Source organism: Homo sapiens, chromosome 7 (genome assembly GCF_000001405.40).
Source record: "Homo sapiens chromosome 7, GRCh38.p14 Primary Assembly".
In the NCBI taxonomy this organism is placed as follows: domain Eukaryota; kingdom Metazoa; phylum Chordata; class Mammalia; order Primates; family Hominidae; genus Homo; species Homo sapiens.
Window position 1 is genome coordinate 107,040,433 of NC_000007.14, and position 22,656 is coordinate 107,063,088.

Sequence of the window (22,656 nt, forward strand, 5' to 3'; positions counted from 1 at the left end):
AAGAAGAAATAAATGAATTTGGAAACACAAAATGGCATTAACAAGATATGGCTCTTAATAATGTTTGGAAAAGTAGTGCTTTTTTTAATTTTGTCATTCCTAGGGAAAAGGTATTAGACATTGTGGCAGAGATTGATAATTATCTCCAGACTTTTTTTTTTTTTTTTTTTTTTTGAGACAAGGTCTTACTCTATCACCCAGGCCGGAGTACAGTGGCACAACCACAGCTCACTGCAGCCTTGACCTCCCTGGGCTCAGGCGCTTATCCCACCTCAGCCTCCCGAACAGTTACGACCACATGTATACCACCAAGCCTGGCCAATTTTTGTATTTTTTTATAGAGATGGAGTCTCCCTATGTTGCCCAGGCTGGTCTCGAACCCCTGGGCTCAAGCGATCCACCCTCTTTGGCCCTCCAAAGTGTTGGGATTACAGGAGTGAGCCACTGTGCCCGTCCAGACTTGGTTCTTTTTAATTCCCAAATGTTTACTTGGCACGTGACTGCTCAAAATAAATATTACATTTCCAAACTTTCCTAATAGCCATTGGTTTCAGTTGCTATTGCTGTGTAACAGATTATCTCAAAACCTAGAGGCCTACAACAACCTTTTTATTATGCTCACAGATTCTGTGGAACAAGGCTTCAGCCAGGGCATCCAGTACAGGGCTGGCTTCTTCTATCATGCTGACTTGACTTTTACAATGTTCTATTGGTCAAAGAAATCACAAGCACATTCAGATTCAAGGGGAGGGGAAATAAGACTTCAATTCATTAGTGAGTAGTGGCCACGCCACACTGTAGGAGATATTGTTGTAGCCGTCTTTGGAAAATGCAATTTGCCACACCAAAGGTGTGGCCATGTTGACTAAGTTCTAGCCAAGAGGATAGAAGAGGAATTGTGTTTAACTTCCTAGAAGGAAGGGAGGGGAGGGGAGCTTCCCTTCTCTTTTTCACTTTCCTCTTAGCTAAAATATGACTGGCCCTGGAGCAGCCATTTTGGACCACAGACAGGATCATAGAGCAATGAGCTGGAGGGAGCCTGGGTCCCTGATGATCATGGAGTACCACACTGTGTCCGGAATTGGTGGGTTCTTGGTCTCACTGACTTCAAGAATGAAGCCGCAGACCCTCGCGGTGAGTGTTACGGTTCTTAAAAGTGGCGTGTCCAGAGTTTGTTCCTTCTGATGTTCGGATGTGTTCGGAGTTTCTTCCTTCTGGTGGGTTCGTGGTCTCACTGGCTCAGGAGTGAAGCTGCGGACCTTCGCGGTGAGTGTTACAGCTCTTAAGGCGGCGCATCTGGAGTTCCTCCCGGTGGGCTCGTGGTCTCGCTGGCTTCAGGAGTGAAGCTGCAGACCTTCATGGTGAGTGTTACAGCTCATAAAGGCAGTGTGGACGCAAAGAGTGAGCAGTAGCAAGATTTATTGCAAAGAGCAAAAGAACAAAGCTTCCACACTGTGGAAGGGGACCCGAGCTGGTTGCCACCACTGGCTCAGGCAGCCTCCTTTTATTCTCTTATCTGGCCCCACACACATCCTGCTGATTGGTAGAGCCCAGTGGTCTGTTTTGACAGGGCACTGATTGGTGTGTTTACAATCCCTGAGCTAGACACAAAGGTTCTCCATGTCCCACCAGATTAGCTAGATACAGAGGGTCCACACAAAGGATCTCCACGTCCCCACCAGAATAGCTAGATACAGAGTGGCGATTAGTGCATTCACAAACCCTGAGCTAGACACAGGGTGCTGATTGGTGTGTTTACAAACCTTGAGCTAGATACATAGTGCCGATTGGTGTATTTACAATCCCTTAGCTAGACACAAAGGTTCTCCACGTCCCCACCAGACTCAGGAGCCCAGCTGGCTTCACCCAGTGGATCCCGCACTGGGGCTGCAGGTGGAGCTGCCTGCCAGTCCCGCGCTGTGCGCCTGCGCTCCTCAGCCCTTGGGTGGTCGATGGGACTGGGCGCCGTGAAGCAGGGGGCGGCGGTCGTCGGGGAGGCTCGGGCCGCACAGGAGCCCACGGAGTGGGGGGGAGGCTCAGGCATGGCGGGCTGCAGGTCCCGAGCCCTGCCCCGCGGGAAGGCAGCTAAGGCCTGCGAGAAATTGAGCACAGCAGCTGCTAGCCCAGGTGCTAAGCCCCTGACTGCCCGGGGCCGGTGGGTCCGGCCGGCCGCTCCGAGTGCGGGGTCTGCCGAGCCCACGCCCACCCGGAACTCGCGCTGGCCCACAAGCACCACGCGCAGCCCCAGTTCCCGTCCGCGCCTCTCCCTCCACACCTCCCCGCAAGCTGAGGGAGCTGGCTCAGGCCTTGGCCAGCCCAGAAAGGGGCTCCCACAGTGCAGCGGCAGGCTGAAGGGCTCCTCAAGCGCTGCCAAAGTGGGAGCCCAGGTAGAGGAGGCGCCAAGAGCGAGTGCGGGCTGTGAGGACTGCCAGCACGCTATCACCTCTCAATACCAACTCTGAACTGCCCACATTTAGATTCCAGAGAAATAAATCTTAAGCTATTGTATTTCGCATTTTCTGCCACATGTGAGCAGTGTTTATCATAATTAATACAAATATTATCACAAATTTAGACAGGTGATACACATGCATCTTAGATTACCAGATCCGTAAAAATAATAATGCTTACACGGTAGAGAGTAGTACTAACATTGTGCTCCAACCGGTGACATGTGAGGCTCACCATATTTTATAAAAGTTTAATTCTTTTTTTTTTTTTTTGAGACGAAGTCTCACTCTTGTCCCCCAGCCTGGAGTGCAACGGCACTGCACGATCTCGGTTGACTGCAACCTCCGCCTCCTGGATTCAAGCGATTCTTCTGCCTAAGCCTCCTGAGTAGCTGGGATTACAGGTGCCTGCCACCATGCCCGCTAATTTTTGTATTTTTAGTAGAGATGGGGTTTCACCATGTTGGCCAGGCTGGTCTTGAACTCCTGACCTCAGGTGATCCGCCCACCTCGGCCTCTCAAAGTGTTGGGATTACAGGCATGAGTGAGCCACTGCGCCCGGCCAAAAGTTTAATTCTTAAAATGCTCGACACAATTAGAAGCACTTAACTACTGTATATTTAAAGCAACGTAACATTATTACTATAAAGTTGTTAAGAAATGAAAATAGAGAAATACATTGGCTCATGGAGTCAATACAGGATGCATCATTAACAAAGGGTTAACATCAAGATCCATTTTTACAAGAGGGACTAGTTCGTTACATCTCTGATTTCTAGACTTGGAGTTTCCCCAGTCATGTGTTTACTCTTCCGTGGGTGGGAAGATAAATCAGAATAACCAAGTGAGCTTGCTCTTGAAATATTTTATTTACAATGATATGATAATTGTAGAAAATGAAGTATGCGTACTTAAATAGAATTTAATTGACAAAAGACAATTTTCTCTACTTCAAAATTGTAAACATTTGCAAAGTAAGCCTCATTTCAAAGTCAAAGCCTTCTACTTTAAAAGCACACATTAGTAATTCTATTTTTCTTTATACTGAAGTATTTCAATTTTTGGACATACAAGTCAAAAATCATTCAAAGCATAAAGGAAAGTTTCAAAATAATAAGCGCCTCATCCTGCACTATCCTATTTAAAAGAGATCAACTAACTTTGATAGGTGCCTCTCAATAAATGGTGCCTTTGTCTCAATAAATAGTAAATGCGTGGAGTGCACAACGGAATAGCATCAGTAAGACGAAACATAATAAACAGGATGGATCGGGAAAGGCTGGATAAAATGTGGGGAAGAAAAAGAAAGACGTCACAAAGATGGGGTAGCATTTCTTTGTCCAAAAGAGAACCAGTACCACCATAAGACTTTAAACAAAGGACATTAGCAACACTTATCATGCAACTAGATTCTAGAAGGAAAATAAAATGCCACTACTAAGGTGGAGGCTGAAGTTTCAAGACAAATCTCCTGGCACCACCTCTGCGGGGGTTCACCATGGCGAATGACGCCTGGGAAGCGGGGCGAGTGGCCAGCCCGCTCCTGGACGCGCGGACAGGTGGACACGAAGGCGGCCTCGCTGGGCCTCCCTCCGCCTCTCCCGGCCCGGGCGCGCAGCCCTGCGGTGGTCTGACAGGCGGGTGCGCGGCGCCAGCCAGCGGAGGTTGCCATGGTTTCCGGGGGTCACGTGGGCGCGCTCTCCTGCGCCCCCTCCCGCGCACCGCGGCGGGGCGGGGGCGGGGCGCCCGGGCGGGGGAGAGGCGCGGCCGCGGCTGGAGCGGGAGGAGCAGGAGATGCTGCCAGCCCTCCCGGGGCCGCGCTCGCTCAGCCGCCGCCACCACACGGAGCAGACGCGCGCCGGGAGCCGCGGGCCGGGCCAGCCGGGCCGCCGGGGCCCAGTGCGCCGCGCTCGCAGCCGGTAGCGCGCCAGCGCCGTAGGCGCTCGCTCGGCAGCCGCGGGGCCCTAGGCCGTGCCGGGGAGGGGGCGAGGGCGGCGCCCAGGCGCCTGCCGCCCCGGAGGCAGGATGAGCATCGAGATCCCGGCGGGACTGACGGAGCTGCTGCAGGGCTTCACGGTGGAGGTGCTGAGGCACCAGCCCGCGGACCTGCTGGAGTTCGCGCTGCAGCACTTCACCCGCCTGCAGCAGGAGAACGAGCGCAAAGGCACCGCGCGCTTCGGCCATGAGGGCAGGACCTGGGGGGACCTGGGCGCCGCTGCCGGGGGCGGCACCCCCAGCAAGGGGGTCAACTTCGCCGAGGAGCCCATGCAGTCCGACTCCGAGGACGGGGAGGAGGAGGAGGCGGCGCCCGCGGACGCAGGGGCGTTCAATGGTGAGGACCAGACCCCCCACTTCGCGCCCCCGGATCCCCTCGCTGCCCCCCACCGCTCCCCGCTGTGCTCTCGGATCTTGCCGCTTTGCGCACCCACCTCTCCCCGCATTCTCCACCTTTCCCTACCTTCCCATCTCGCCCACCCCCTCAGCATCCATTTCTGTCTCTCCCACTCGCCCACCTTCCTACTCCGCTCTCTGTCATACCCTCTTCCCTTCCTCTAGAGGTGGGAGAGCTGGGATGTTACGCTTCCCTCTTACCCTTTGCCCCCTCTGCCTGGGCCGGTTGGGGTGGGCATCTGCTAGAAAGACAACTTTCGCTGTGGTTGGAGGTATTTCGCTTAGAGGATACCATTGTGCATAAAGAAACTGGCCCGCTTGGCGTCTTCTTTCAGCCCTTGTATTTATTAATGGAATGTCGAAAGAGAAAAGGAGAACCGTGTTTAATATGATTGGCTTTACTGTTGTTAGGACGGTAGATTCGCTAAAAGAAGCATGAAATTGGACTCACTGGGGCAGAACAAAATTTATGGCCAGTAGCTCTGACATTCTTGGAAATAAGAGTTATCTATTATTTTCCAATTTACCAATACCGTGTTGTGTTATTTTTGGACACGTAACAAAGGATTCTATTTAGTCTGAAACCCACGGGGGTCTTTGGAACGAGGAAATGGGTTAATGGTTTGCTTTTTATATAAAAGACATATTGAATGATTTGGTGCTTTATTTTTTTAAAAGTGTATGAGAAAAACACTGTAGGAAGTTCTGAAAGCTTGTTGGTTGTCTTTAGAATGAAAAGCCAGTGAGTAATTGTAAGGATTGTGCCAGACAGTAGAGCTAGAAAGAATGAATGGGAAAGAAAAAGGAATTTTCTCAAATAGCTGCTCCTGGCAAGTCCCACCCCTTCTGCTTACAACCCTCTTTCCCTAACACACCCAGACACACACCCTCATTTACAGCCCCTTGTATTACACAACATGCCCAAATCTCATTTTTATGGCAACCCAAGCTAAAATACCATGGAGTGCAGTGTGCAAGTGTTTTCTCTTTGTGGTGTAAGGCAAACATGCATGCAGCATTGCACCAGCTTTTATTTATTTACACTGCTTGTGGTTTGTGTGTCCGCAGTGTATTTCATAAAATGAAAACATTTAAAAGTGTCATTTCATTTCCTTGTGTATGCTCCTAGGAAGATGTTTCTTTTCTTTGCAGGATTACATGTTGAAATGGATTATAAAATTAGTGTATTTTTAGTTTCTCCAAAAGAATCCCAGAAACCCTGGAAATTAGTGCGCTGTGAAGATAAAAGTGAAGCTTGTTACTTACAATTTTAATTTTGGACTTCTAAATGTTTCCCCAAGAGGATAAACATAGTCTTAATAATTCTTTTTGCACAAGAATCGAATCAAAAGCTTTTCCTACCAGAAACGAGAAAGAGAAAAGAATGCATGTTTTAAATAGGTAAGAAGCAGCAGCCAGTAACGGATGACAGAAAGGGCAGAGATATCTAATACTTCTTTTATGCTCCTGACATGTTCGTGCACACACACAAAGGGGAAAAAAAGGACTCTTTTCCCAGGTTGGAGAAAACTAGGAACTAAGGGGCTTGGTAAAGACCATATATATATATATATTCTGTATGATATGTTGTTAATATAATCAAAATATTTTGTTTGTATAATGCATTTGTTGAAGTACTTTGCATTGATGATTGCATTTTCTCCTTATAACAATATATTGCGCACAGAAAAGATTCCATTTTCATTTTGTAGTGAAGAAATAAGCCGTTAACTTCTGAACAGCAGGGGTCATTTTATATGGCTTTATATTCTCCAAGGCACCTTTGCTGTAAAAATTGCTCAGTGTGACTTAAACAAGTTAAACTTGTTAAACAATTGCACTATTTACTCCCTAGCCTCACCCCCAAGGACTTTAAAACTTTTTGACTGCAACCAAATACAATTTGATCATTATCCAGGAGGCACATACATCTGTATAACAGAAACTTTGGCAATAGTACAGGTACTTCCTTCTGTCAGATGCAGTGCTTTTTGATATTTCCTATTTGAATCAGTTATTTCTCCCTATTTTAAATTGTATTGAGACCTCCAGTTGAAAAACATTTAATTATAGGCTACAAAGTGATTGGCAAGGTTTCTTGTAAAGGGCCGGTTAGTAAGTGTTTTAGACTTAGGGCAACATGTGGTCTTGATCACTTCTTCTTCAGTTTTTTTTTTTAAACACATACACCTTCTGAGGGTTGCGGTTGTACAAAATTAGCTGCAGATCAAGGCCATAGCTTGCCGACCCCTGGTTAGAAGAAAAAAAAAAAAGTCAAAATAGTACCATTGGGGGAAAAAACAGGAGTGATCCTAAAAAGTATGAGCCTATCAGTTTGACATCTATGTCCAGAAATGTGTCTCATTAGAAAAGAACCCCAGATACTGGGCAATTCTGGCATAGTAAAGAATAAGGATTGGAAAACAAGTCTTAATTTACTATGACACAGCACAAGACCTGCTGGGTCAGTAATTCTGAAATTTTCATAGATATCTCAAGGAAGTTTGATTCAGAAATGACCATTACCCTGTACCATTTTTGGAGAGCTTTTTTAAATAGGTTGAGATGGGACATGATATCCTTTTCTTCCCCCTCAGTAGACATCCCACCCAGGTCATTCTGATATCAATAGTTCCATGACTGTACTTTGGAAAACATTAACAGATAGTGATAATACTATATTCTTCTTAACATTTAAAACATAATTGCCGTTAGTTGACAATTGCTGTGTGCTGTCTAAATGCTTTAATTTTTTTGTCTCAGCTTTATGAGAACGATAAGGCCATCACTTGCCCAGTGTTTCACGTGAGCTGCAAAATCAAGATTGGGATACAGGTGGACCTGGCTTCATCCCTGTGCTCTTGACTGCCCGATTCTATCTCCAGATGGGGCTGGGGCTAGCATAACCTGAGTATCCCTTATATGTCAAGCTCTATTTGGGACCCTTAATGTGTTTTATTGTTAAAGCTCTGAAAAATTAACTTGTCCAAGGTCACACATAAAACGAGTAAGTAGGGAAGCCTGATTTCTTACTCTTATGTATCTAACCTTGAAGCCCAGGATGATCAGGGAGTTCTTAAATGGAATTTGTTCTGTGGGCTGACTCACAAGTCAGGTTTTCCTGTTTTTTTTTCTTTTAGTAATGCTGATGGATTTGCATTGTTGGTTCATATCCTCTCTTGTGAATGTCTTTAACGTAAGTGATGGTATTTATGAGAGGTTGGAGTTAAAAGGCAAGTTTTTGACCATGCAACTTGTGCCCATTGACAAACGTAGGACAAACGTAGGGATCAAGCATGTGACCTTGACCTTATAATGTGGTGGTTTAATCAAATAAGCCAGGCACCTGCAGTTAGCTGGAAAAAATGTTGTCTGGCCAGGGGTCGGTGATTTTTGAGGGTCAGGTGGTGTGGCTGTAGGTGGCGCTAGAGCAAACAGTCAGATGGGTGAAGGTCATCTTCTTTCCTACCTTTCCAAAGGATCCCTTCCTCTTCTAATAGCTTTCTTTTCCCTCTCCTATTCTCTTCCAGTCTTATAAATTCTAATTGTTACTTTCCATTTGCTATCAATTCTGGTCGAAAGAGCAAGCTTTAGATGTTAGAATGATAGTGGCTTATGGTGACCCTTTCTAGGGAAACTCTCAAAGGCCAGAAAGAAGCCATAATGGAAACCTCTTGGCATCTACTCTGTCTCCCTCTTCCCCGTCCTAGAGAAAGCAAATACAGTTTGACATGTCATGTCTGAAAGGGTAGCATCCCTAGGCCTTGAATTTCTTAGAAGGTTTACGGTAGGCTATAGCATTGCATCAGTACTAGTTTGGAGTAAAATCTGTGGTAATTCATGATTTTATATAGGCATCATCAAGAGATCTTGTGTTGCCCCATAATTTCTTCAGTGGAATTGCTGAAACAAAAAATGAAGTAAATACCATTCAGATTACTCTGATAAATGGACAAGTGGTCAGAAACAAAATTAACTACACATGGGCACATGCAGAGCAGTCAACCTGGGAGAAAAAATAACTACCGTGATAGAAAATAAAGAGCTGATTTTCTGAGTTATAGAAGAAAAAGATCTAGAGTTCAAAGTAGATACACATACCAAAAATATAGACTCATACCCCATAAGACAAGCATATCAAAAGTAATAAATAGAAATTTACCATGTAATAACTGTGGCTTAATCCTCTTAACTCTGTCCCATGTCCAGTCTTGTTGGAATCTTACCTACCTTTTGGTTTTTACAGTTCAAAGGGAATTTGGAGAATTTACAAAACATCCTTAAGGTCAAGCAAAATATTGTAAAGTTTATATCATTGATATAAAATCTTACAGAGTTATATACTTTTTTTTTTGCAGAATAGCAATTTCATTGTGTTTTATGGAAATGAATCCAGTATTGCACTTCTTGGCGAGGTGAAGCAGGGAATGAGCTTATGTGGCAGTTTTACTTAGGATTTAATGTTATACAGTAATAAAATCCATATCTTTTCAGCTCATAATTTGTAGCTAAGAGCTCCAGGATTTTGTAATTAATGAGACTTTATAGTTTTTGGCTATTAGAGATTTACATGGTGGTTTTAAATCCTCCTGAAATGGATTAAATCATTCATGACAATGGCTAAAATATTGAAGCCATTATTTTAGTTATGAGCATAAAACAATAGTGTCAGAAAAGATAATAAAAATTATTTTGAGTTAGAGATAGTGATTGTGATTTTCAAAGCAGAAGTTAAGAACATTATTCATTTTACTAGTAATAGTAGGTGGATTGCTTTAGGGGTTGAAATTGGGAAACCAAAAAACCCCTTCTCTTACCATCTATTACTTTGGGCTTTGGAAGAAGGGTGGTAGAGGGAGAAAGATAATGAAGTCAGAAGGGAAAGGGGGAGGGAGAGAGCAAGAGAGAAGTAAAACCAGTTGTGAAGGCTTGCTTGAGTAACTTACACTTTGAAGACATACAATGGAAACACCTAAACAGAAATTGAAGCATTAGTACTTTAATTTTTCTATCAAAAACCAAACCATTTAGCTATTATTTTAGATAAGACAGTTACCAGCTTTTTTTTTTTTTTTTTTTTTTTTTTTTTGTGGATGCACATAAATTGATGTGCTGTGTCTGGGTAGAACAGGAGTGAATATTGAATGGTTATTTTATTGTTGCAAATCTCATTCCATGGATTCCAGTAAATTTCCAGCCGTCAAGATTTTGTTAACAGCTATGTTGAAAAACAATTGTGTTTCTTTTTCAGTTGTGCAAATACAAACAGGGGACCTATGAATCCATCAATTTGGGGTTTATTTTTGACCCATTAAGAAAATCGTTTGTCAGTAGTAGTAGTAATAAAGTCCTACAGTGGAGGTTGGGGAATGATGGAATATTTTAAGGTGAGAGATTCAGTGAAGAAGACTGAAGTGACTAACTGCAGGGTCTACTTTAGAAGTGTGGAGAATCACAGAAAGTGCTGAGATCTGGGATGGCCTATTAGAAACAATGTGTGAAACTTGGAAGGTAGGATAGTTCTTATTTTAAGAAAAAAGAAATGATTCGTCTTACATTTACTCTCTTTAGACTTCATTTTTTTCTGTTTTTGTTTGTTTTTTGGTAGAGATGGGTCTTCCTTTCTTGCCCAGGCTGGTCTTGAACTCCTGGCTTCAAGCAGTCCTTTTGCCTCAGCTTCCGAAAGTGTTGGAATTAGAGGCGTGAGCCACTGCTCCCTGCCTAGACTTAAGACACCATCCTTTTGTCAGAGATGGCCTCATAGATAGTATGTATGATCAATTTTGTTAATAGATGGGGCAGGTGAGAGACAGAGAAGTTCCTTATCCAAATTTGGTAGGTTTTGGCCTTATAAATTTGAGTTTGTTCATACAACTGTTGCCAACATTTTGTGCGCTATTTATATTAACTTACATCATATGAATTTTTTCTGTCTTCCATCAAGTTGATTGATAAGGTTTAAAAGGATGGGCTAAAGAAAAGTACTTTTGTCTTCAGAATTTCCAGGTTTTTTTGTTCTTTGATTCTTTTTCAATGAAGTGAAATCTAATATTAGACTATATTTTCCTATCACTTGCTTAAGAAGAGACAATGGAAAAGAAACAAGAATGCAGTGATTTTTCTGAATTGAATGAATTGTTACTGTGTTCTTGATCCTGTTCTTGTCCTTCCTGTCTTATCTATATCATCTAGTTGTGGTTGGGACAGTCACAAAATCCTACTCTAAAAACCTCACTATGATGCTTATCATTATTTTATGAGAGCGAATTTTGTGCTTCACAAATTCAAAATGACTCAGACGGTTTCATTATGTAATTTTATGGAAAGAATTTGAGCTAAAATTTTCAGGTCATGGCTTACATGACAACAAAACAATCAAATAAGAAAATCAGAACTATAAACAGTTGGTGTAACATTTATAAATGTTTCAGCAATAGGCTCTGCCATGTGTAGCTTAATATGTTTGGAAACTAAAAAAAAAAGTCTTTCCAGTTGCTGCTGTTTAAAAATGTTTCTTAATTAAAAAAAAGACAAAAGGTCAAAATGTAAACACATGTTCCACATAAAAGTGAAGCCAAGAAGATATACTGTATACAGTTATTCCTGTATCTGTTTGACTAAGGATGACATTGTTTAATTTACATTAGCTGTTCCAAGACAAAATAGTCCATGGGAGTGATGTTGAGGGGAATTTGGGGGGTAAAAAGAGAAGGAAAAAAGCCGTTTGTTCCATTTGTTCTAATATATTTCAGTTACACCCAAAGAGCATCTTTTTCAAAGGTCATGTTGAATTAAAACATGATTCGGCTGTTTCGTTCTCATTATTATAGAAAACTAATGTCTTTTAAATGGTGTCCTTTTAGGCCGGGCACGGTGGCTCATGTCTATAATTCCCAGCACTCTGGGAGGCCGATGCGGGCGGATCACCTGAGGTCAGGAATAGGACACCAGCCTGGCCAACATGGTGAAACCCCATCTCTACTAAAAATACAAAAATTAGCTGGGCGTGGTGGCGGGCGCCTTAATCCCAGCTGCTTGGGAGGCTGAAGCAGGAGAATCGCTTGAACCCTGGAGACGGAGGTTGCAGTGAGCCGAGATTGCGCCACTGCACTCCAGCTTGGGCAACAGAGGTATACTCTGTCTCAAAAAAATAAATAAATGGTGTCCTTTTTATTTAATACTAGTTATTATTAACATTTTTGACTACTGATGTATCAGATGTGGAACAGTGCTTTACACATTGTCATCTGAACAGATGCTTTACACATATGTGATTTAGTCTTCCCCAGAGTAATTGGTGGAATCAAGGTTTGAACCTGGTAATCTGACTTCAGGGTCTTCCTCTTCAACCACGGTTTATACACTTCATTTCAGTAATTCTTTTAGCAGTAACGTGGTTGAAAATAAGCACATATCAAAAAATAAGCTACCTACTTTTCCCTCTAAAAGTTTGCAGGCTAGCCCTGCATTGATCTCTCCCTTTTACAATTTGCATTCTCTGTCTATTCAACCCAAATTAGCATTTCATGTACCTTAGAAACTCAGTACATTTGTTTATTTTATTTTATTTTGTTTTTGACAGAGTCTTGCTCTGTTGCCCAGGCTGGAGTGCAGTGGTGCCATCTTGGCTCACTGCAGCCTCTGCCTCTGGGTTCAAGTGATTCTCCTGCCTCAGCTTCCTGAGTAGCTGGGATTACAGGTGTGTGCCACCATGTCTGCCTAATTTTTGTATTTTTGGTAGAGACAAGGTTTTTCCATGTTGGCAAGGCTGGTCTGGAACTCCTGGCCTCAAGTGATCCCACCTGCCTCAGCCTCCCAAAATACTGGGATTATAGGCAAGAGCCACCACACCCAGCCTACATTTATTTATTTTAGAAATAATCACCTCATGTACTGAGCTGCTTAATTCTCTAAATTTATTTTATTATATACCTTTATTAGCAAAATATATTTGAGTGTACACCCCAATATATGTTGATAAATTTTATACATGTGACAATATATTGACTTATATGTATGATAAAGCTTCCTACAATATAAATTTTGAAAGGAGAAAGTAAAAAGCAATTCTAAGCAAGTTGTAATTTTCTCCTACATCCCAACATATAGCCTTATACACTGTTTTGGCATACATGAACCCCGTTTTGGAGACTACAGCTGTAAACAATACCACTTAAATTGATACTCTAGTAATATATAAAGTAGCCATGATCAATTTTGGTTCCCTGATTCAAGCTTCTAGATTATAAAGAGTGTGTGTGTGTGTGTGTGTGTGTGTGTGTGTGTGTGTGTGTGTCTTTTTTAAAAGACAGTCACTCGGTAAGTTAATTGACTCAACAGAAGTTGGCAGAATACAGAGGAAAATTCTATCTTATAAAAAGGAAGTAAAACTACGTTACCTGAAGGGGAAAATCCAGGCTTTTTCTTTTAAAACCTGTTTTCCTGTATATACCTTGAATTCCAATTGTATAGTGGTAATGTTTTTGGTGCAACATTTGTGGATGGGACAAAGAGAATCGTATTATAGTTTTCTGGTTAGGAATCAGTAAATTATGGAAATACCAGTCAGAATTAGAAGAAAGTCTAAAGTTTAGAATAGTTGAAAAGAAATGCAATTTCATAGAGTATTTCAGGTTATTTTGTTAGGAGAGAGATCGTTCACTATTTGCTTTCTTGTAACTTTTGAAAAATGTTTAGCATGTGCTTGGATTACCTATTAAATAAGTGTAAAAATACATGAAAGAAAGGCAATTCTTTTGTAAATATGCATTAAGTAGTAAATAAAACACAGTAGGCCGTGTGTGGTGGCTCACAGCCTGTAATCCCAGCACTTTGGGAGGCCGAGGCGGGCGAATCATGAGGTCAGGAAATCGAGACCATCCTGACTAACTTGGTGAAACCCCGTCTCTACTAAAAATACACACAAAAAAATTAGCCTGGCGTGGTGGCAGTTGCCTGTAGTCCCAGCTACTCGGGAGGCTGAGGCAGGAGAATGGCGTGAACCCGAGAGGCAGAGCTTGCAGTGAGCTGAGATCGCAGCACTGCTTGACAGAGTGAGACTCCATCTCAAAACAAAACAAAACAACAAAACAAACAAAAACCACGGTATATAGCGGCACATGACATGATTCTAAATTGATATAGCCAAATATTCTTGTCTTAAGTCATTCTCTTGGTCCTGAATTCTCACTCCCCTCTCCCTGTCTTTCTGCTAAATCTCACTCTTTTCCCAAAGGTTTAGTTTATATTTTACCCTACCAAATATTTTTGCAAGTTTCCCTCCTTGACGTTAATACTATCAATATGGTAGGATGAATATGGCCTCCATCAGTCAACTTTGCAGATGTCAAGGGTCCTCAGTCTAGGTAGGCAAGAATGTGCAGGAATATACCCTCTCTTTCTAAGTCTTTCCTGTATGTGTTGTGCTTTGCTCACAGTAGGTGTGCAAATGTTTTTTAAAATATTGAACACTGTCTAATGGTAAATGTGTATGAATGTAAAATGATTGAAAACTTCTTAGGCATGTAAATATTTTAAATAGACTTTTTTTTATTATACTTTAAGTTTTAGGGTACATGTACACAACGTGCAGGTTTGTTACATATGTATACATGTGCCATGTTGGTGTGCTACACCCATTAACTCTTCATTTAACATTAGGTATATCTCCTAATGCCATCCCTCCCCCATCCCCCAACCCCACAACAGGCCCCAGTGTGTGATGTTCCCCTTCCTGTGTCCATGTGTTCTCATTGTTCATTTCCCACCTATGAGTGAGAACATGCGGTGTTTGGTTTTTTGTCCTTGTGATAGTTTGCTGAGAATGATGGTTTCCAGCTTCATCCATGTCCCTGCAAAGGACATGAACTGATCCTTTTTTATGGCTGCATAGTATTCCATGGTGTATATGTGCCACATTTTCTTAATCCAGTCTATCATTGTTGGACATTTGGGTTGGTTCCAAGTCTTTGCTATTGTGAATAATGCCACAATAAATACATGTGTGCATGTGTCTTTATAGCAGTGTGTTTTATAATCCTTTGGGTATATACCCAGTAATGGGATGGCTGGGTCAAATGGTATTTCTAGTTCTAGATCCCTGAGGAATCTCCACACTGACTTCCACAATGGTTGAACTAGCTTACAGTCCCACCAACAGTGTAAAAGTGTTCCTATTTCTCCACATCCTCTCCAGCACCTGTTGTTTCCTGACTTTTTAATGATCGCCATTCTAACTGGTGTGAGATGGTATCTCATTGTGGTTTTGATTTGCATTTCTCTGATGGCCAGTGATGATGAGCATTTTTTCATGTGTCTTTTGGCTGCATAAATGTCTTCTTTTGAGAAGTGTCTGTTTATATCCTTTGCCCCCTTTTTGATGGGGTTGGTTGATTTTTTCTTGTAAATTTGTTTGAGTTCATTGTAGATTCTGGATATTAGCCCTTTGTCAGATGAGTAGATTGCAAAAATTTTCTCCCATTCTGTAGGTTGCCTGTTCACTCTGATGGTAGTTTCTCTTTTGCTGTGCAGAAGCTCTTTAGTTTAATTACATCTCATTTGTCAATTTTGGCTTTTGTTGCCACTGCTTTTGGTGTTTTAGACATGAAGTCCTTGCCCATGCCTATGTCCTGAATGGTATTGCCTAGGTTTTCTTCTAGGGTTTTTATGGTTTTAGGTCTAACATTTAAGTCTTTAATCCATCTTGAATTAATTTTTGTATAAGGTGTAAGGAAGGGATCCAGTTTCAGCTTCCTACATATGGCTAGCCAGTTTTTCCAGCACCATTTATTAAATAGGGAATCCTTTCCCCATTGCTTGTTTTTGTCAGGTTTGTCAAAGATCAGATAGTTGTAGATATGCGGCATTGTTTCTGAGGGCTCTGTTCTGTTCCATTGGTCTGTATCTCTGTTGTGGTACCAGTACCATGCTGTTTTGGTTACCATAGCCTTGTAGTATAGTTTGAAGTCAGGTAGCATGATGCCTCCAGCTTTGTTCTTTTGGCTTAGGATTGACTTGGCAATTTGGGCTCTTTTTTGGTTCCATATGAACTTTAAAGTAGTTGTTTCGAATTCTGTGAAGAAGGTCATTGGTAGCTTGATGGGGATGGCATTGAATCTATAAATTACCTTGGGCAGTATGGCCATTTTCACGATATTGATTCTTCCTATCCATGAGCATGGAATGTTCTTCCATTTGTTTGTATCCTCTTTTATTTCATTGAGCAGTGGTTTGTAGTTCTCCTTGAAGAGGTCCTTCACATCCCTTGTAAGTTGATTCCTAGGTATTTTATTCTCTTTGAAGCAATTGTGAATGGGAGTTCACTCATGATTTGGCTCTGTGTTTGTCTGTTATTGGTGTAAGAATGCTTGTGATTTTTTCACACTGATTTTGTATCCTGAGACTTTGCTGAAGTTGCCTGTCAGCTTAAGGACATTTTGGGCTGAGACGATGTTAAATAGACTTTTAATAATAGTCTCCTAGTAATGTTTTACATTACTGTATTTTAAGATGTTTCATAAAATATAAAAGCTTTAGCCTATCTTCAGTTCAGTCTCATAGATTTGGACTTCGTTGTATTAAAAATACAACGTGAGGCTTGGGCCTGACATTTGAACACTACAAAATGCACAGAACGCACGTGCACAGGCTTCTTTTGCCTGTAGGATTTCATATTGTAATTGAGGTGACATTCTGGCCCCCCACAAACCACTAATGCTGTATGTCATTGCATCTGCTTATGTGAACTCTGTGCTTAATCTAAAACTGATCTATTGCCCTGAACCTGCTTTGTCCATTTCCATCTTTTTGCGTTTCCTCATCATTCCTGCCACTCTGCAAGGCAAGCTGCCTTCCTCCCTCTGTTGCTTGAATTCTGCTGACCCCTCAAGACCCACTTGCTGTTTGGACTCCTCCAGTTTTTCCTCTAGCTCCAGCACAGACCTGTCTCTTTAAGATTGAAATGGACATATCCACCCGCTTACCAAATACCTTTGCTTGCATGTTCTTCAGCCACCTCCATACAATTTTATCCTAAACTGAATGTGTTCTCTCGTTCCTCAGTTCTTCTCTCCTGTACTGTGATGTCATTCTTTTTTTTTTTTCCCACTCCACTAATTTTCATAAACGTGGTCACTAGAGCTCCTTTTCCTTTGCCTCATACTTTTTAAACCTGGCAATTTGCTTTTATGGAAAAAAGCAAAAATAAACCAGATTGCTTTTAGTTGCCAAAAATTTAAGAGTAATTATGTGAAACATCTGAAATAGTGGAAGCTTTTTTAAGAGTGTGATTTCATTTTGGTATAGACTCTAGATTTGAAGCCTGACTCTGCCATTTATAACTTTTGGGAACTTGAATAAGTTACGTATTTTATGATGAGTGCCTCATTTTCCTCATCTATGAAATGGGAATAAAGATAGTACCTATCTCAGAGGGATGTTTTGAGAATTAAATGAATTAACAGTACCTGGCATACGCTAAGCATTAATGTGTGTTAAAAAAAAACACAACAAAACCAAAAGGAAACAAACAAATACAAGTTTTAGAATTCAATGAGAACACGACAGTTTAAAAAAAATGAAATTTGATTAGAAATATAAGCTAGAGATTGCTCTCAAGCCAGTATAGTAATAGTACTTTTAAAAAGTTATTAATGAAAAATATGAAAGTAAAGTCTTTAAATCTTTTAGTTAAGTGTTTCAAATTTTTAAAAACTTGCAGTTCTTTAAATCTTATGTCCTCCTTTAATTCCATTTGAAATTTGAGGTAAATAGTCCGACTTGGAAAAAAAAGTAAAAAAAAAAAAAAGATGGGATAAAGCTTTGCTTTGTTTTCATACCATCCTTTCCCCTGAGAAACAGTGTTTAACTGATAGAGTAAATAGATGTGTGTGTACACAGTCTCCAAGTTTATGGTCTTAAATTTAAGGTTTAGCAGGTAATTTTTGAACAATTTAGGAACCTGTAGGTAGAAGTATTGAAAATTGTTACTTTATTTAAATGAGGCAGATGCTTGTAGAAAAACAAAACTGTGTGCCTGAAATACAAATTAATTGGCAAACAATTAGTTGGCATTAAATTGACAGCTTGTTGCCCTTTCCTCATGTCATAATATTTATAAAAGTAAGCTCATGGTGGGACAAATTAATACATCTCCAAGTCTTACATTAGTATGTGTTTTTATTCTGAAAACTTATAATTCTGTACTTATTCAACTACAAATTGCTAATAATTTATTTTTAGAAGAAAATAAAGACAATCTTTTGAGATCTTTGTTTTTACATGAAGTTTGTTCATACGTCTTTGATTTTTTTATTTGACTGTTAACAGCAGTTTACCAGCCAAGCAATATTAGGACTTTTGATGCATAATAATTCCTTGAAATACCTTTCTTGTAATTCCTTAAATGGAATCCAAAAGGTATTTTAGTGTTTGAATTTTAACAAAAACCCGTTTGTAAAAAGAATATTTTATGAAAAATATTTTAGGAGCACATTTTACATTAAAGTACATTTTGAACTAATTTGGTTGGGCTGATAGTATCGGAGCATAGTGAGAGATTTTTATCTGCCAAAACTGAGTAGAGCAGAATTTTTTTTCTCTTTTACTTGTTGTGACGTATTTTCAATATAGAGAAAGACACAGATAAATGAGGAACACTCATATAAGCAGTCCTCTAGCTCTGACAGATTTTAACATTTTGGCACCCTTCAAGGTTTTTTATTTTTTTTCCTGGCCACGCACGGTGGCTCACGCCTGTATTCCCAGCCCTTTGGGGGAGACCAAGACGGGCAGATCACCTGAGGTCAGGAGTTCGAGACCACCCTGGCCAACATGATGAAACCCCATCTCTACTAAAAATACAAAAATTAGCCGGATGTAATGGCACATGCCTGTAATCCCAGCTTCTTGGGAGGCTGAGGCAGGAGAATCGCTTGAACCCAGGAGGCCAAGGTTGCAGTGAACTCCAGCGTGGGTGACAGAGTAAGACTCTGTCTCAAAAAAAGAAAAAAAGTTATTTTTTTTTCTTTTAAAATATACCACATGTGCAGTAGGAGGAGGCCCCTCGTGTACTCTCTCCTGTCCCATTCCATCAACTTCTCTCTCCGGAGATAACCACCACCATGATGCATTTAGTGTTTGTGTTTCTGGTATGTGGTTTTGTAGTATTACTACATAGGCATTAGGTTAGAAATTTGTATAAATTTTGCACTTATAAAAGTTTCTTTTATGTAAATTATTATCCATCAACTTGTTTTTGAGAAGGGCATTTGAGATGTTACATTGATTCATGTAGTTCTAGTTCTCTAGTTCATTTATTTTAACATTACTTCTATGTAGTATACCCTTGTATAAATATACACTTTATCCATTCTTTGGTAAATATTTTGGTTGTTCCCAATTTTTTGTTATAGTGCTGTAGTGAATGTGTGTGTGTGTGTGTGTGTGTATGTGTGTTAGGCAAATGTAGTTTTTAAAGATAGTTTTCAGTGTGTGGTCTGGATACCTCTGGGGGACCATTTCCCTCTCTTCCCAGACCTTGCAAGAGTCCATAGGATGAAAATTATAATAATACTTCTAAGATTTTCTTTGCCTTTTTTTCTCTCATGCTCTCAGCGTGATAGCTTACGGTGGAGTTTTCCAGAGGGTATATGATGTATGATATTGCGACAGATTGAATGCAGGAGCAAATACGAGAACCCAGCCATCTTCTATCATACCAGATTTGCAAAAATGTAAAACAAAGTCATTCTAAATTTTACTAAGTTTTGTTTGTTTTGGAAAATATAGTTTTTTTAATCAAAATATGTTATTAGTAACGTGTAAGTTCCTTTAAATTCATATTTTAAGTATTTATCAGTTTTAATTTATAATACAATAAATATCAATGGATATAACCATATACACAAATAATTTTTGAGAGTATATAGAGATTTTGAGATCGAAAAGTTTGTGGACTGCTGCTATAGGGTATGTACCTAAGTGTGGAAAGGTTGATTGTAGGGGTGCACAGCTTTGACTTCACCTCACATTGTCATATCTGCTTTATAAAGGTGTTGCACCAGTTTGTACTGTCATCAGCAGTATGAGTCCCTGATTTTCACATTGAAGCGAACATTCAATATTGTCAGATTTCAACAAGCTTTGACAGTAGGATGGATGTCAGGTAGCATCTTACTGTGAATTGAATTTGTTTTCCTCTTATTGCTAGTGACATTGAACATCTTTTCCTGTTCATTGACTGTATTTGTAGTTTATTTTCTTTGAAAATTTTTTGCCATTTTTCCCATCTGGCTGATTGTGTTTTTCTTACTGATTTGTAGAAGGATTTCCCTCCTTCCCTCCCGCCCTCCCTTCCTCTCTTCCTTCCTTCCTTCCTTCCTTTAATGTTCTGGCTACCAACCCTATGTTGGCAATAGTCATTGAAAAAAATCTCCCAATCTTAGGTTTGTCTTTTCATTTTGTTTACAATAACTTTGAACATAATTTTTAATTTTAATGTAGGCTAATGTTAATCATTCCTTTTGCTTGTGATTTTTTTTGCCTTGTTTAAGGATTTCATCACTAACCCAAATTAAAAAGGTAATCTCTTTATTTTCCTGCAAAAATTTGTAAGTCTTGAGTTTCATCTTTAAGGCTTTAATCTATAATTTATTCTTATATATGGTATGAATTAGGGAATCTCATTTCATTATTTTAGTATGCATCATGTATTGACTCATTTTTTCCCCCACTGATTTTTAAATGTTAAATTTCCATTTATCTGTGAATGTACAAATTTCCACATACATGTGAATGTACTTCAAGCTTCTGTTCTGTTCTATTGGGTTTGCTGTCCTTTCCTCAATGCCTCTTTCCCTTAATTAATGTGACTTTAAAATGGTCTTGATATATGGTATGGTAACTCTCACTTTTTTTTTTGCTTTAAAATGATTTAATCATTTGTAGGCTTTTATTAGTCCATAAAACTTTTAGGATATGCTTCTTCAGTTTTGTAGAAAATCTTTATTGGTAGTTTTATTGGAATTGCTTGAATTTATAAACAAAGTTGGAGATGACAGATATTTTAATGATACTGAGTCTTCCTATCCATGAACATGATATATCTCCCTTTATTCAGTCTTCCTTTCATATTCTTCAATAATGTTTTATAATTTTCTCCATAAGGATTTTGCTATCTTTTCTTAGGTTTATTCCTATGTAACTTATCACAACTGGGATTTTTAAAATTATACATTTTAATTTGCTGTTGCTGAGAATATATAACAGGAACTGGTAAAGTTCAATAATAAGAAGACCCTAATCAAACTGAGCAAAGACTTGAACACGTCAATAAAGAAGACCTAAGAATGGCTGGGTGCAGTAGCTCATGCCTGTAATCCCAGCACTTTGGGAGGCCTAGGCAGGCAGATCACTTGAGGTCAGCAGTTTGAGACCAGCCTGGCCAACATGATGAAACCCTGTCTCCACTAAAAATACAGAAATTAGTGGTGGCACATGCCTTTAATCCCAGCTACTTGGGAGGCTGAGGTAGGAGAATCGGTTGAACCGGGATGGCGAAGGTTGCAGTGAACCAAGACTGTGCCACTGCACTCCAACCTGGGCGACAGAGTGAGACTCTGTCTCGGAAAAAAAAGAAGACATAAGAATGGCCAATAAGCACGTGGAATAGTGCTCAATATTTTTAGTTATCAGGATAGTGAAAAAACCACTGTAAGACACCATTAAACACACACATCATTAAACACACACAAGAATGGCTAAAATAAGACATACCTTATGTTGGCTGGAACTCCTATATGGTCCTGGAGGGCATAAAGTGATATAAACACTTAGGAAAACTGTGGGTATGTTATAAAGTTAAGCATTCACCCACCTATGACCAAGCAATCCCACTCCTAGGTATTTAAGAGAAATAAAAGTAACATTTACAAAATGGTTGTAAACATATGCTTTTATTCAACCAAAGTTATTGTAAACAAAATGAAAAGACAAGCACAAGACTGGAAGTTTTTTCAATGAATATTACCAACAAAGGGTTGAATATTTAGAAGAATATTAAAGAATATTTATAAAAGCTTTATTCAAAATAGCTCAAACTGGAAACTGAAATGTCCATCAACAGGAGAATGGAGATATATATATTGTGGTATATTCATATAAGGGAATACTACTCATCAATAAAAAAGAACAGTACGAATTAATCTTATGTTTGCATGAAGTTCAAAGACAGGCAAAGCTAAACTACAGTGGTAGAAATCCTAACAAGTAATTGCCTATGAGATAGTGGGAATTGACAGTAAGGGGGTTCAAGGAAACTTTCCAAGGTGTTGAAAATGTTTTATATCTTGATTGGAGTGTTGGTTGTGGATGTATATGTTTATCAAAACTCATTGAATTGTACATTTTATTGTATGTCAATTTCACATCTTTTTTTAAAAAAAATTGGAAATGTGGACACTCTTGAAATCTTTTTTTTCCACATTTTATTGAGAAATGCCATTGCCTTCTGCTCTGATTATCTTGTGAAATCTTTCATTATTCTTGTTAGAGACTAAAACCAGGTTACATTTTCATAATTGTGGGGCATAAATGGTACTGCTTTTAATAATACTACTTGAAAAAAAGCCAAAGACTAGTCAAGCTCTAGTGTTAAAAGTCTATTTTATGTTTTTAGCCAGTACTATATATTTTAATTTATGGGTTTCAGAAACTCAATACTTGTATACATAACATTTGCTGTTTTTTTTTGAAACTGTGTCTCACTCTGTCACCAAGACTGGAGTGCGGTGGTACGATCTGAGCTCACTGCAACTTC

General features: G+C 40.1%; 1 protein-coding gene across 1 annotated transcript in view, besides 4 other annotated features; it reads left to right on the forward strand.

Moving 5' to 3' along the window:
- Positions 326–537: a silencer, noted in NCBI's record as "fragment chr7:106681203-106681414 (GRCh37/hg19 assembly coordinates)". NCBI's record gives its function as "represses an EF-1alpha promoter that drives an FKBP-Casp9 reporter gene in an ReSE screen in HepG2 liver carcinoma cells {active_cell/tissue: HepG2}" and the evidence as "EXISTENCE:reporter gene assay evidence [ECO:0000049][PMID:32094911]".
- Positions 4,026–4,585: a silencer, noted in NCBI's record as "silent region_18536". NCBI's record gives its function as "represses an Ori minimal core promoter by ATAC-STARR-seq in GM12878 lymphoblastoid cells {active_cell/tissue: GM12878}" and the evidence as "EXISTENCE:reporter gene assay evidence [ECO:0000049][PMID:35858748]".
- Positions 4,026–4,666: a biological region, named in NCBI's record as "Sharpr-MPRA regulatory region 8060".
- The window catches only part of PRKAR2B (protein kinase cAMP-dependent type II regulatory subunit beta), a 117,107-nt gene continuing 98,723 nt past the window's right edge, over positions 4,273–22,656 (forward strand). The window contains exon 1 of the mRNA NM_002736.3: positions 4,273–4,782. Within this exon, the coding sequence (NP_002727.2) occupies positions 4,476–4,782 (307 nt within the window). The 5' untranslated portion in view covers positions 4,273–4,475. The remainder of the gene's footprint in view (positions 4,783–22,656) is intronic.
- Positions 4,372–4,666: a silencer, noted in NCBI's record as "tiled region #8060; HepG2 Repressive non-DNase unmatched - State 4:PromP, and K562 Repressive non-DNase unmatched - State 1:Tss". NCBI's record gives its function as "represses a minimal TATA promoter and a strong SV40 promoter by Sharpr-MPRA in HepG2 and K562 cells {active_cell/tissue: HepG2 | K562}" and the evidence as "EXISTENCE:reporter gene assay evidence [ECO:0000049][PMID:27701403]".